At 38.1% G+C, this 15,933-nt stretch overlaps 1 protein-coding gene across 28 annotated transcripts in view; it reads left to right on the top strand.

The window, feature by feature from the left end:
* Positions 1-15,933, top strand: part of ODAD2 (outer dynein arm docking complex subunit 2) — a 187,508-nt gene that overhangs the window by 36,698 nt on the left and 134,877 nt on the right. For 27 of the 28 annotated variants that reach the window (XM_047425404.1, XM_024448052.2, XM_047425414.1 and 24 more), the window contains one exon: positions 1,263-1,410. In XM_047425404.1, coding sequence (XP_047281360.1) covers positions 1,263-1,410 — 148 coding nt within the window. Of the gene's footprint in view, positions 1-1,262; positions 1,411-3,871; positions 4,141-15,933 lie in introns of those variants that run through there. The other variant, XM_024448058.2, reaches the window with a different exon arrangement.

Genomic DNA, 15,933 nt, shown 5'->3' with positions numbered 1-15,933 from the left:
CTGTTGGTATTATTTAATATTAAAATTAGCTAGAAGATTTAAAAGTTTGCTTCTGTCCTGTGAGATGAGGAATATGTGGGAAACAATATCAGGATAAATATCCTGGGTTCAGCACCTCTCCACATGTGAGTGATGGATGAGTAGTTCCTGAGACATCACTGTGGATTTGGTGACCCAATGGCAGTAACCTGGCATCCGGCGGTGGGAGGCGGAGACAAGCTGGTGTGATGAGTGTGCGTGTGCATGAGGGACCTCTGCAGGGACGTAGGGCATATATTGGATTCCAGAAGTCTCTTGTAATACTGTTGTCCATGCATCAAACCATAGAATGTGGTGTACTTCTGTGGAACTCAACACTTTGCATGGTAATGTCTCTCAGAGTTGGTGGTTAACTCTTTGGTCCTGAACCTGATTATGTTCATGTTATTGCTGTTCTTTGGCACCTTGTGCCCTTGCAAGTACTTCAGTGTAGGCATTATGGAGGGATGTGCTGAATATTGACTCTCTTTGGTAAAAGAGACTCTTTCACTTTAGGGCCTTGTGGCACTGCCCAGTTGAACTTACTGGAATAATAGAAATAGTCAATATCTGAGCTGTCCAGTGTGGTAACCACGAGGCACGTGGGCCATTGAGCACTTGAAATGTGGCTAGTGTGATTGGAGAACTGGATTTTTAATTTTCTTTAATTTTAGTTAAATAAATAAGTTCAAATACCTGTAAATATGGATGACCACATGCAATGAGTGGCAGTCTTATTGAAAAGCGCAGGCTTAGGACATTCACTGAATACCCTTGTTTATTTCTCACTGTTTTGTTTATTATGATTATTGCACCCAGAGCAATTGCACCTGCAATAGAGACAGGTTTATTCACCTCATGCAGTTCCTTTTTATTTTTATGTTTTGAGACAAGGTCTTGTTCTGTCTCCCAGGCTGGAGTGCAGTGGTGTGATGAGGTAATAAAGGTTTACTGCAGCTCAGACTCCTGGGCTGAAGTGATCCTCCTGCATCAAGCCTCCTGAGTAGCTGAAATTACAGGCATGCACCACCATGTCTGGCTAATTAAGTATTTTTTTTGTAGAGACAGAGTCTTGCTATGTTGTCCAGGCTGGTGTTGAACTCTTGGCCTTAAGTAATCCTCCCACCTCAGCCTCCCAAAGCACTGAGATTATAGGCATGAGCCACTGCACCTGGCCCCATGTAGGTCTTAATAGATCTCCACACTATAGCTTACATGTGTATGTGTGTTGTTATTGTTCTTAGGAAGAGTGCTGAAAAGATTGAGGAAACTGTTAGCGATAGCTCCTCAGAAAGTGAGGAAGATGAAGAACCACCTGACCATCGTCAGGAAGCAAGTGCAGATTTGCCATCAGAATATTGGCAAATTCAGAAGCTGGTGAAATATTTAAAGGTAAGAAAGGTCTATGGTAGTATGTTTGCAATGTTCATTTAAAATACTTTCCCAAAGATGTATATGCTGCTTCCAAGTTTACTTTACGTTTCTTTCAAATAAGAGTAGTAAGCATTCCTGTTGTTTTATCTAAGTTTGTGCAGGGCAAGGTCTTATTACCCTGAGGATGCAAGATTCATCCTCATGGAGCAACCAGGCTGCCTGGTACCAACCCTCTCTCCCGGCTGGGAAGTGGGCATGGTAAACAGCTGACACTGTGACTTGCTGCCATTTTATGATTTGTAGTATGGTATGGAAGAAATAACATGGATTTTTAAAGCTGGACTTCGGTTAAACTCCAGGCTGTTTCCCTTACTAGCAACGTAGCTGTTGAAACGTTACAGTTTTGAGCCCTAATTTTCTCAACCCATAGAATAAAATTAATATACCTGTACTACAGGACTATTATAAAGTTTAATAAAACACACTTGAACCATAGCATGGTTTCTGAGACATTGTGGGTGCTTATAGTGTGGATTGGTTCATTTTCATTTCTCTCACGTCAGATAGCATATATGAGAATATTTTACATAATAATTGGCCCATGTAACGTATTTAAGTATTTGAATTTGCAGGAGGGCAAGGGGAATGGCTCACCAAAACCCAGCTTAATATTCATTTCTGACGTCAGATATTAAGTATTGATGATATCTAGGCCTTGTGTAAAGCCGACGTCCAGAAGTATTTGTGAAAAAGTATTTGACTTAACTCATGGTTTCTTTCTGCTTTTTCATGTGTTTGGTTAAATCAACCAAGGGCATTTGCCAGTGGCTTTGCTTGATTTAATCATTGCACAATGTAAACATTTATCAAAATATCACATTGTACCCCATAAAAATATACAATTATTCTTTGTCAATTAAAAATAAATAATATTTTGGCAGGGTGCAGTGGCTCACACCTATAATCCCAGCACTTTGGGAGGCCGAGGAGGGTGGATCGTCTGAGGTCAGGAGTTCAAGACCAGCCTGGCCAACATGGTGAAACCCTGTCTCTACTAAAAATACAAAAAAAATTAGCTGGGCGTGGTGGCACACGCCTGTAATCCCAGCTACTCGGGATGCTGAGGCAGGAGAATTGCTTGAACCCAGGAGGCGGAGGTTGCAGTGAGCCGAGATCATGCCATTGCACTCCAGCCTGGGAGGTAAGAGCAAAACTCCATCTCAAAATAATAATAATAATAATAATAATAATAATAATAATAATAATAATAATGAAATAAATAAATAAATAATATTTTCATGTTTCAAAAAGGACATGAGCTTATACGAAACAAGCCCTAATGCTCAACTTGGAGATCTCTTTGGCAGGCTCCTAATGATTTTACCAACATCAATGCAAAATGAAAAATATGTTTTTAGTCTGGACTGTTTGTCATGAAACAAACCTCTAGACTATTGGAGAGAACAGTTAATATTTTGTGAGTTTTAAAATTTCATTTTAAGCGTGATACTTTATAAATATTAAATATTTTTGTGGCATCTGTCAATTTTTAAAATGGTTTTTATTTGGCATTTATTTTGTGTTAATGTTTCCCTCATTTAGTGTTTTGTATTATGAAATTTCTATATCAGGTGCACATTGTTTTTACATGTTGTTGCAATATAATTATGTCACATATTCTGGCTCATAATAATAATAAATCATGCATTTATTACATAAGTTTTTTTACAGAAAACCTCTGAAATTTTTAGCATAACTCTACCACAAAAAATGATTCACTGTTTATTATGATAGCAATGATTCACTACTATTATAGGCATTCATTATTATTTAAAGACATGTAAATGAAATGTTAGGAAAAATACAGAATAATATAATTTTGGGAACTCATGAAAATTCCTAGGAATTTTGATTGCATATTCCTGAATCTTGAAGATTAACCTGTCGGGAATTTGGAAACACTAGCATGGAGCACGGGCTAGATTCAGGCCACATGCTCCTGCACTTCCCTTTGGCAGGAGTATTTGTGCACAAACCACATAGTTCAACACAGTGGTCCAGACTGGCACGCACGGTGACCATGCCCAGCTTTGGGACATTTAGGCCACGCTTGCAACAGTGCCTCTGCATCTTTACTGAACCACAGGGCCTCCTGTGATTACCTCTCCTGGACTCCTAGAAAGCATGTCATCTGGGGGAAAGAAAAAAAGAACTGGCAGTGGAGAACTTTGCCAACACCACTCTCTCTGAGGTGGGCAGCTCTAGACAGGGCCATTGGGGCTTAGCCTGCCTTCCTTTCTTCCTTCCCTTTCCTTTCCTTTCTTTCTTTCCTTCTTTCTTCCTCCCCTCCTCGCCTCCCCTCCCCTCCCCTCCCCTCCCCTCCCCTCCCCTCCTCTCCACTCCCCTCCCCTCTCCTCTCCTCTTTCCTTTTCTCTTTCCCAGGCTGATCTTGAACTCCTGGCCTCAAGCAGTCTTCCTACATTGGCCTCCCAAAGTGCTGGGATTACAGGCATGAGCCTCTAAGCCCGTCCAAGACATAGTCTTTCAGAAGATGAATTAAGAGAGTCCTGAGTTTTTCCCAAGAGTCCCGGTCCATTATCTTTATTTCATTAGCAAAAGGAAACAAGTCAAAATGGCAGAAACAAAAGATGGATCAGGAAGCAGAATACCAGAGTAATTAGAAGCATGATCTTTGACGTTGGAAAGACCAGTTGAGTTGAAATTCTGCCGCTTACTCAATGGCCTTGGGTGAGTTGACTAACCCCTCTAAGCTTCAGTTTCCTCATTGGTGAAGATGGAAAAATAAAAGTTCTCTTATATTAGAATTATTAAGAATATTAAATGAAATACAACACATGTAAAGTGCTTAGCACAAAGTAGTTAGTAACTGTTGGCAATAATAATCATTTCTATTGCTTATTATTATTGTAGCAAATGTGTGGCATGGAGACTTAACTGACTCGTGCAGGTGGCCTTCAACTTTTACTTTCAGTTCTCTAGCAACCAATAAAAGGGGGGAAGTAGAGTGAGTTAATACAGGGAGGGAAAGTCTCTCAACGTCTTAAAATAAAAACAAACCAGTTGCCAGTGAGTATAACTGATCCTGGTGCTAAGAGCAGAAAGAATTTTCTCCCTTAGGATTTAATGGGGCAGGCACGGAGTGAGAGAGTGAACAGCCTCAATAATATCCTCCCAGTGAACATGGCAAAGAGAGTTTCTCATAATAGCCTAATTACTGGATAACTGTCTTGAGTTTTTTCAACTATTTAGGATAAGTCCTTGTAGCTTTAGGCCAAAAAGAGATGCACTATTTCTGTCCCAGTACAGCTAAAGAAAACATATATTGATGAAGTGCTACTTAAATTTGCACAAGTTATTCATCAATAAATCATGTGCAAATGTGATACTCTTGGCCAGACAGTAAATTGCTTGGAATTCTTATAGTTCCCACAGGTAAATATTCTTCACATAGCCAATAAAAGGAAAAGTATATCTATAAATGATTTCAAGGTTTTTGACACAGATAAATATTTTATATGGAGACACAAAACGATATTAAAAGTCTGTGAAATGCAAAATTGAATGTCTCTAGGTAATCTCAAAATAAATACACCTGACATTTTAATTTATGAAATTATGGCTTAAATGTAGATTTAAGCTAGCAGAGAAATATTCATGTTGACCTGACTTTCTATTTACCATTTTCCAAGTAGAGTGATGTCTCTGATTGTTGGAAAAAAAAAGATTTAACGAGCTCATTAATACCCAAACAGGTCAATGAACTATAGCTTATTATTCGTCCAGAGCTATGAGCTCATATCTTGGCACATAAATAGAGTTTGTATTTAATTATTTGGTTTGACATATGTTAATTTCAACCTGCAAGTTTTATATATGTATAAATTCTTTTCATCTGGATTTTTTGAACACAATTTAATTTTTAAATTAATGAATGTATCACATTTTTACTCACCAACCTTCCAGCTTCTTTTCTCCCCCATAGGTGATGATGCTGTACCCTAATTCTAAAGGAAGCAATGAACCCCCTTTTCAGCTACCTTACTGATAAGCACTTATGTTCTGCCTTCTGCTATCCTGATGGTTCAGGTTGTCTGTCTTACTATCTACTTCTTGAGTAGAGAGACCACATTAAATTTATTGCTGTATCTCGCAGGGCATCTTGCTAGTGTGCACAGGCTCGCCTCCCTACCTCTGCCCCGATGGTGTGAAGGGGAGAGGGCGAGGTTCCTTAGTGGCAGGGCTTTGCTGTTCTTCACTCTCAGCCCCCTGAAAGCAGTTCTTCCTGCCTCTGAGCCTGTCTTTCCTTCTGCTGTTAACTTCTTTCCTACTTTTCTTGCATCCCTCTCTCTTCCTTTTCCTGCCGTCTTTCTTGTAGACATACTAGTTGATTGCTGTATTTGCTGACTTTATATGGATATTATTTTTTCCTCTGGCCAAAATTGTTTTAAAATCTTGCAAGGAAAATGTCTTGCTTTTGATCACTTCCAGAGATTAAAGGAGATGGTTTGTTAATGTCTCTAGGCTCCATACTAAATCTATGAGTCTCTCTAAAACTTCAGTGAAATCATGCTCATTTCTAAATAAGGTAGGTGGAGAGCCCTTTTGTGAAACAGGAGAAGGGATGTAGGATATTTTGTTTGGAAATGTGGAAATAAATATTAGTTACAAGTACTATATGTTATAAATTCATGCAAATGGGTATTCTTCAGTAGAGTGGGGTAAAATGTTGAAAGGTCATAATTATAAGTAGATTTGCATTTTATACACATTATAATGAAAAAGAATTTGTGGATCCAAGGTCAAAAACACGTTGAAATCCATTTCAATGTGGATTGAAGGTGGAGTGGGTATGGTTTTAACCCTATAGGCAGTAAATCCAGTAAAACATTGAGAAGACTAGAATAATGCCGAGAACATGGTTGGTTGGTCAGCTTTTTGGTAGTTCAGAGGCATGTCAGAGGCTGGGCCTAGAATTATGCTTTCTTTCCCTTGAAGATATTTCCTAGAGCTGTCACTACAGGATAAGATGCCCGTATTGTCCAGGCACCAGCTCTAGGTTCAACAAGGGTTATATTGGCAAGCACAGTTGGATATCTGCCCATACTCTGAAATGCTTCATCCAGGCGGTCTTATTCCTGAGTACTTGCTGCAATGATGGAGGCCTCTAGGGCTCATTCCCAGGGCCATTTCTCCACATGTACCTCCTCCCTGTGGGATGCCAGCTTCTGTACCTGGGATTTTGATCAGAGTCCAGGTGGGAGAGTGGGGAAAGGGATGATGAAAGCATTGATTTGGAAAGATGAATCCAGCAGCAGGTGGTGTGCCAAGTGAATCTAATAGGAAGGGATGAGAAAACAGTGACAATGGGGTTACATTGGTAGAAAGGATGGCCATTCCTACACATTCATCCTTGCCCCTGACCCATGATGGGTTGGTGAGGGGTAGCCTAATTTGTTTGTTCTGTATCATCAAATTCATCAAACACTGGCGTGGATTTCACCTTTCACATGAGCCAGACTGCTTGCCATGCTTGTGCTCTGTAACCACAAATTGCGTATTCTCAGGCCACCAGATGCCTGGTGGATCCCAGCTTAGTAGTGGTCAATACTCTAATCCAGAGTGACATCTAAAAGACATTCACATCAGAAATGCCACCGGGCTGCCAGCTTCAGAAGGGACTCCCAGAGCTCCTCCCTGGCAGGTTTTGGGTTTCTTCTCTGGAGGTGGATTCTTGGCAAGGACATTTTTCAGACTTGAAAACCTTTGTTAAAGACTGCATTTGTGGGGCTCAGTTCCTTAATGATCTTATGTAAACTGATTAAACACACACACACACACACACACACACACACACACACACACACACACCTTAATTGGTTAAAGAGTTCTTTCGAGTGGTAATTGGAAGTTGTATGAGTTTTTGTTGTAGGAATTTGATGTACTTTGCAGTCAATTACAGTTAATTAAATTCCTTTCCCATTACTTGAGTTTTGGGTATGGAGTGGCAGGTAGTTTGATCCTTGTTTCATTGGTGGAAAAGCTGAGAAATTCTTTGCTCCAGGCCACACAGAAGGGAGCTGCAGGCCAGGACTGAGTCCAGGCTTCTATCTTTATTGCACATTGCCTGGTTGTTTGGTTCCACTGTCAAGAAATTCAGGACCCAGGAGGCCTGCAGAACTTGCTGTTGTATCTTCCTGTCTTTCTCTTGTTTGGATTTCTTCATTCGAGTGAGAGTCAACAGGGAACCCTTGCCATAAAGGAACTCAGTATTCATGTTTGGAAGGCCATATTAGACTGTGCTCTTCTGCTGTCTTTACTTAAAAAAAAAATGGAAAAGAATGTGATGGCACAGAGTTATTCTTGTTAAAAAGAGTATTTCGAAAACGGAAAACAATGCTCACTGTTCGTCCACTCGAATCAACTCCAGTAGTTAGAAAGGCAAATGAGTACCATGTTCCTGAGAAACATTCTTTAAGTTAGTAGATGTGTTGCTACATTGATGTGGGTTGAGCTTTCTTTAAAAAGTCAGTGACAAACGAATAGGACAACTTTTGTGACTTTTTTTTAATTGCTTGTTTGAAATCATAACATATTTAAATTCCATCAGCTAAAAACAGCCTACTCAGAATCTGCATTTATGCTTTCATAGATATTGTAGTATAAGAAGTGAATCCACTTTAAGTATTTGGATTACTGGTAATGTGTGTTACTTGTATGCTTATATTGCCCACAAAAGAATTTGTCGTGTTTTATTTTTGTTATAAAGGAGATTGTGGAAGAAATGGAGAGGCTCCTCTCCGTCTTTCCCAAAGGGGAATCTGTATTTAAATTTTTGAGCTTTAAACTTTCCTTGCCTCTTGGCAGTCAAAAATAAATATGTGTGGAGAAAAAGCAGCGTAAAGACAATGATAATACAGTGCTACTGACTCATAACAGTTTATGCGACCACTAGCTAGCACTATGCTACCACATCAACTTAACGACTGAAACATGACAATGTTAAAAATCTCAGGGGAGTTCCCTTAAGCTTCAACTCATTCATTCATTCATTCATTCATTCATTCATTCACTCGTGTTTATTCATGAACGTGTGCTATAAGCCAGCACAGCTAGAGCATGATATGATACACATACCCATCTAGTTATTTATCAGATTTTTGATTGGAATGAACTGTGATATCTAAGGCAGCTTTATGTAGTAGATCTTTTCGGGGAATTTCTTGCCCCATGTATTTGCAACAACACTTATTTTTGTTCCTTAAAATATGCTTTTCCCCTAAAATTCATTTGAGAAAGCTAAGTAGATTGGAGAAGAGTAGTGGTACTGGCTGGTTCCCAGTTTCGATAATGTGCTAGGCTGCTTTGCTTTCTGTTTTAAAAACACACACTCATGGCCTGTTACAGAGGCTGCATGCTGAAGAATTTTTAAATATATGAGTTGAGGAGTGAATAAGAGGCATCAGATTTGGTATAAATGATTTTTCACTTTACATCTTTATATGGATCTATTGTCATCATTATTTAAAATTGCATATTTGCAGGAAAAATATTAAACTCCATGTCCCTTTTTGGTCCATTGGCCTTTGAGATTTTTCTCGCAGGGCTGTGGTTCTTCCCAGCTCTTGCTCCCTGAGTGGGTGTGGCTGTCTGGTTGTGGCTGCTGATGTTTCTGTGACACAGGACATAGCAGAAGCACGTGGTATTCTTCCCGTTTCCCTTACTCCCTTCTGTGTTTAAAATCTTTAAATATTATACAAATAGCACACTCATATATGCTCAATGTGAAACTTCAAGCCATGCAAAGTGAAAGTCCCTTCCAGATGTTTCTCTGTTTATATACATATATAATTTATATACATAAATGAAATCCTACTATTTCTTATTCTACATTTTGCTTTTTATATTTAATATTCTGTCTTGGTGATCTTTCATATCTGCCTCACTCCTTTTAATGACTACATAGTATTTCATTAAATGTATATATCATTAAGTTATTGAACAATTGCCTTATTGATAACATTTAAGTTGTCCCTGAAATCAGTTTTTGTTACTGCAAACAATACTGCAGCTAATATTTTTACACATTGTTTGGATATATACATTATTTCTATAGGATGGATTCTTTGAAATGGAATTGCTTGAGTCAAAGAGAATGCACATTTACATTTTTGATAGCAGTAATAGGGAGTTCTATACAAGTGCCAAGATATTTATAAGATTTTTTATTGGAATGAACTGTGATAGCTAAGGCAGTTTTATGTAATTGTTCAATGGGTATAAAATTTCATTTATGAAAGATGAATAAGTTCCAGATATCTGCTGTACAACATAATACCTATAGTTAACAATATATATTGTGCACTTAAAACATTTAAGAAGTAAATCTCAGATTAAGTGTTCTTACCACAAGAAAGGCAGAGACAAAGGACATGTTTTCAGGTGATGGATATATTTATTACTTTCATCGTAGTAATGATTGCACAGGTGTTGGATTTATATGCATATACCCAAACTCATCAAATTGTATACATTAAAGATGTGCATTTTTTTATATCAATTATATGTCAATAAAGCTGTCTAAAACAAAGAGAAAAACAATATATGCACACTACAGTTTGAGAAGACTTGCATTAAAAAATTTTCAATTTAAACAAAAAATAATGAAGAGTAATAAACAAAACAAACTTGGTTTATGTAAAAAAAAGTTTCATAGCTCCTTACAGAAAGCAAATATCAATTTACACTCTACCAGTAACATACCAATAGTTTTCAACCCTGGACCTTCAACCTCAGAGTGAAATTAGCCAGAGCTGTTAAACGATGGAGCAAATAAACAGAAGACCCTTATGCCCAGGTACCATTTTTGGAAGTTTTGATTGAATTGGTTCAGGCCGGAGTCTAGGCATTGATAGACTTTTAAATCTCCCTGTGGTAATAAAACTGTTCATCTACAATGAGAACACATGGACACAGGGAGGGTAACAACACACACCAGGGCCTGTCAGGGAAAGGGGATGGGCAAGCATTAGGACAAATAGCCAGTGCATGTGGGGCTGAAAATCTAGGTGATGGGTTGATAGGTGCAGCAAACCACATGGCACACGTTTACCTATGTAACAAACCTGCACGTTCTGCACATGTATCCTAGAACTTAAGGTAAAAAAAAAAAATAAAATAAAAAAAGTTGTCAATATAGGATTGGAATCCATTGTTGTAAATTCTCATCGATGTGTAGTCTTTTTGTTATTTTTTATTTTGGCCAATTCTCACAGGGGCAAAATGTACCTTGTTTGAATTTTCATATTTCTAGTTACTAGTGAGGTTGACAATTTTTTTATATGTCAAATAGCCATTGTATTATGTCCTTTGCCTATTTTTCTGTGTGGTTGTTCATCTTTTTAATTCTTGATGATGCAAATTAATCCTTTAGCTGTTATACTAATTGCAGGTATTTATTTTCTGTTAGTGTGTCTTTTTTTTTTTTTTTTTTGAGTTGGCATCTCAGTCTGTTGCCCAGGCTGGAGTACAGTTTCACGATCTTGGCTCACTGCAACCTCTGCCTCCCCAGTTCAAGCAATTCTCCTGTCTCAGCCTCCCAAGCAGCTGGGACTACAGGAGCGTGCCACTATACCTGGCTAATTTTTGTATTTTTAGTAGAGATGGGGTTTCACCATATTGGTCAGGCTGGTCTCGAACTCTTGACCTCAGATGATCCACCTGCCTTGGCCTCCCAAAGTGCTGGAATTACAGATGTGAGCCACTGTGTCCAGCTGGATGTCTTTTTGTCTACTCTTTTGTACATTAATAAATATCTTCTATTTCTTCATGGCTTATAGGTTTTGTTTCTTAAGAACTAGGAAGGTTTTTTCTGAAGCCATTCTAAATGGACAAAAATAATTTCTAGTTCCCTCTGTTAGTTTTATAGCTTTTTTTTTTTAAGTTCAAATTCTTAATCCTTCTGGAATTCACTTTATGTATAATAGAAGGTATGCATCTAACTTCACTTCTTTTTCTCTAGAGGAACAGTCAATTGTATCAACACAGATTATTGGCCTATCTGCTTTTCCCTCCAATAATCTGGGATACCACCTTCATCAAATTCTGCAGTCTCACACGTGAGAGTTTGTTTCTGGATTTTCTCTTTGCATTAACTTATTTGGATGTTCCCATGCTAGTTACATGCTGTTTTAATTACTACAGCATTGGTATATTTTGATATTTGGTAGACCAGATAGGTACCTTAACATTTTTAAAACTTATTTTTTGGATTTTTCATTCTAGATCATCTTTAGAATGAGTTGAAAATCATGTTAACAAAACCCCAAAATTCTGTGGGCATTTTGGTTGGTTTACATGAATCTATAAATTATTTTTGGATAAACTGCAATTTTAATAATGTTGAATTCCAATAGTTCAGGCACATGGTATGACCATTCATCCATTTAATCTTTTACATAATTTAGTAATATTTAATAGCTTTTTTCCATGTGTATCTAAAACATTTCCTATGAGATTTAGTCATAGATATTTTTATTATTATTTTGCTAATCCCGACATGGGAACTTTTTTCAAGTTAAACATTTTGATTTGTTATTGTTAGTGTATAAATACTCACTTTAAAATGCTGCTCTTGTGTCCACTTTATTGAACTATTTTTTAATTAATTATCATAATTATTCAGCTCATTCTTCTGAATCTTTTTAGTAAGATAATTATATTTGCTATAAATTTTTCTGCATTGCAATGACTAGAACATTCCAATAACTGTCAATTCCTGTAAATGTTCCATGGCAAATTAAAAAGAATGCATATGGGTCAGGCATGGTGGTGCATGCCTGTAGTACTAGCTACTTGGGAGGCTGAGGCAGGAGGACCTCTTGAGCCTAGGAGATGGAGGTTGCAGTGAGCCGAGATCACACCGTTGCACTCCAGCCCGCACGACAGAGCAAGACTCCGTCTCAAAATAAATAAATAAATACAATTAGAAGAATGTATGTAGCATCCTTGTATTGTCCTTACCCATTCCTGATAAAACATTCTTAGCAGCTTGTAATACAACAACCTGAGTCTGATTTATTTAAGGATATATGTATATTTTTCTTCGGGAAACAGTATTCTCTCTTTCTCCTCAGGGTTCTGTTGAGTCTTAGGTTTTTGAGTGCTAAGTCATCAGTGTAAAATAGATTTGCAAATAAACAGAAGGAAAGCAATGTATTTTTCTGCTTTGACTCACGTGGTTATACACCACTCACTGTGAGCACTCACTTTGTACCATTTCTGATCCTGGGAGAAGAAGAATATCTCTAAGCCAATCTTTATGCTGGGCACCAGGTCCTCTGTGATCATTAATGAACAGTTACTGGCAGGGGTTTGCTTTTCTTGCTCTCTGAGTGGCATGTTTGAAGGAAAAAATGCTGAGAATGTTCAAAGCCAGCTGGATGGCCATGTGATAGTGGTGCCGATTCTCCAAGTCTCACCGGCTGCTTCTTGATTGCAGATGGAGAAGCTGTGTGGGGTAGGGACAGAACAAGAGGCCTCTGGTCCTGATCAATCTCTGCCTTCCTTCCTGTCTCACTGTGGTCATGTGGGGCTCTGATAATAACTTCAAATGATGACCCTGCAAGCGTGTTGCCCAACAGAGTTGGAGTTTCATCTACACTTGTAGCATCCTTTCCTGAACCAAGTTGATAAAAACCTTTCAAACGTTTCTTTATGGTTCGTGATGAGTCACCCTCCCCTCCTACTCCAAGTTACTTCTATTCTCTGGATCCCTGCAGTAACCTGACTGCATCCATCCACGCTTGCCCCCTCCAGCCAGCGGCCTCTGCAGCCAGAGTGATCTTTTATAAATGACATCATTGTAAATTACATTGGCCAATCTTGAAATAAAGATGAAAATTCTCAGCCCAGACTCTGGGCCCAGCAGCCCAGCTGGTTTTCAGCTCATCTTGCACCACGCTCCCACCCTGGGCTCTGGCCTTATTTAGGTGCTAAGCATGCCATGCTCTACTCCCCTGCGTTTTTGCATATACTGTTTGCTCCGACTGGTGGACATTTCATCACATCCCCTCCTTCTCTGCCTGGGAAATCGCCTATTTTCTGTCCAGATCTCAGTTCAGATGTTCTTTCCCTGTGAGTGATGCTCCAAGTTAGGTCAAAGTTCCCTGTGATGTGCTTCCACAGCTCCATGCCCCTGCCCCATGTAGCACTTCTCAGATTTATAGTTTCTGTTTATTTGGGTGAGCTTAAAAAAGTTAAAAACCTTTTTCCTCCACTACATTATAAGCTTCATGAAGGCAAGGGCAGTGTCTGTTTTGGTAAACCGGTGTGTCTCTAATGCTAACCATCCAGCATGGCAAATAGGAAGCATGCAACACATTTGTTGAATGAAATAACACAAAAGTGATTTGAGGCAGCTCACTTCCTGTTTTACTCTTGAATACATTGCTCATTTCAACTTAGCAAATGTTTATTTCTTCCTTATCAATGGTAAGGGAGGGGCATTGTTCTGTATACCAAACAGGGTAATACTTGCTTATTTCAAATATTTTATTTGAAGTAATTAAAAAAACGTAGTTGAGGAAATTATCTTTAATTCGTCTTGTCTTTCAAAAAGAAGTTTTAAGAAAAGTGAAAGAGAGCGACTTTCATTCAATCTCTGCACGTTTAAAACCTAATGGTGACAATGAAGAAATGCCTCCTGGTCATCAGAAGGAATGTCAATTGAAAAAAAAAAAATCCAATGGCCAAATGTCAATTGCAAAAAAAAAAAAAAAAAAAAAAAATCCAAAGGCCAACAGAGCCTGGAGATGTTTGAAAAGAAAAGGGGCAGGGAGACAACTAGCAAAAGAATTGCATTAATTTTAGAAGTGGAAACACTTATTGGAAGCATTTTTCAAAGCCCTTCAGAAGCTAGTAAAATCATATTTTACTCTATTTTCTCCAGCTCCTAAAACCTCAGAAATGCAAATGCGTGATAAAATGTGAAAATAAGTATTGGTAAATAATTATGTTCTTAGGGGAGATTTAATTGAAAAAGGAGTGTATTTGCATGGTTTCTTCTCAGTTCGATATTTATGGCATCTGGACAAAGTGGAACAAACATTCAAAAATCCTTTGACATAGCTGGTATTTAAAGAATAGCAATTGGCTAACATTTGTGGCTCTGTATGTTGAATATTTTGGCTCCTGTCCTCTGGTATTCATTCTGAAAGATTTATAATCCCTTTGGGAGTGTGGTCAGTGACAAGAGTAGAACTAAATCCTGAAATGTGGAAAAACTAACTTTCCCTAATATAAAACTGTTCTAAAAAAAAATCCCTCAAGCCTATGAATATGTTTCCAGATTTTCAGAAAAAAAGCTGATGATTTACAGAATTTTTTTCTATAAGGATCTAACTTCTTGATGATAACTGTAAATTGTCAGTCTTTTGCATTCCAAATTAACCTAGAGATACTTCAAAAAGCTATAAACTCTTACCTTTGGGACATCTGCTGCAATTAAATGGCCGTTATGAATTTATGTCATTGGTTATAGTAAAATTAATGAAATAAAGCTCAAAAGATGTGGAAGTTGTCTAGAAGAGAAAAATTAAGAAAACTTGAAATAGGAAACAAAGATTGTGCTGAGTGTATAAGCTCGAAAATTGCTACCAAAGAAAACATTATAATGCAAGAATAGCAGTCAAGCAAGTCCTCAGCACGAGCGATTAAGAATGTTAGGATGGGACAGTCTTCTTCACTGCGTAGACCTGGGGCAGGAGGAGGCTCTTGGCTTAAACAAGGTATGACACACTGTTCCATGTCTTCTTGCACTTTCTAGTCATACTGAAGTCTGAAGCCTCCGCCTAAATAACTCTCTCTTGCTGAAGTACTTGGTTTGGATTTCCAAACCCTTAATATAGGAACCTGCTCTGCTACTTCAGACACTCCTGGGGAGGTTTCTGGCTCCTTTTAACCATTTAAATTCAGAGAAAAAAAGAGCTTTATTCAAATGAATTGTTTTTCTTATTTTCTTTGTTCTTTCTTTTTGTGCATGATTTAATTTCCTTTAATTAAGTATGGTTAGCATGTAGATTCTCCTTTATTATTATTATTTTAGAGACAGGGTCTCACTCTGTTGCCCATGCTGGAGAGTGGTAGTGTGATCATAGCTCACTGCAGCCTCCAACTCCCAGGCTCAAGCGATCCTTCTACCTCAGCCTTCTGAGTAGCTGAGATTACAGGTGCATGCCTCCACACTCAGACTAGATTCTTCTTTATGGCTTATAAAATATCTGACTTTTGTTTTTTTAAAAGAGGAAATGGAAGTACTGGCTTATGGGAGCCTCCTGCACCCAAATATGGGGGTTTATGAACCTGACAGTTATAAAGAGAGGATTTTTAAAATTCATATTTTAAAACCAACTGTACGAAAATTGGTGGTATTGGTGGCGGTAACTTTTCTCCTTGATAGGAAGCAGAAAAGATACTAAAAGCTGTAAGAACATGACTTATTAGTAAATAGTAAAATTAAGGCTC

Source organism: Homo sapiens, chromosome 10, assembly GCF_000001405.40.
Source record: "Homo sapiens chromosome 10, GRCh38.p14 Primary Assembly".
Lineage (NCBI taxonomy): Eukaryota > Metazoa > Chordata > Mammalia > Primates > Hominidae > Homo > Homo sapiens.
Note: the sequence above shows the minus strand (reverse complement) of the source record. Positions and strands in the feature narration are given on the sequence as shown.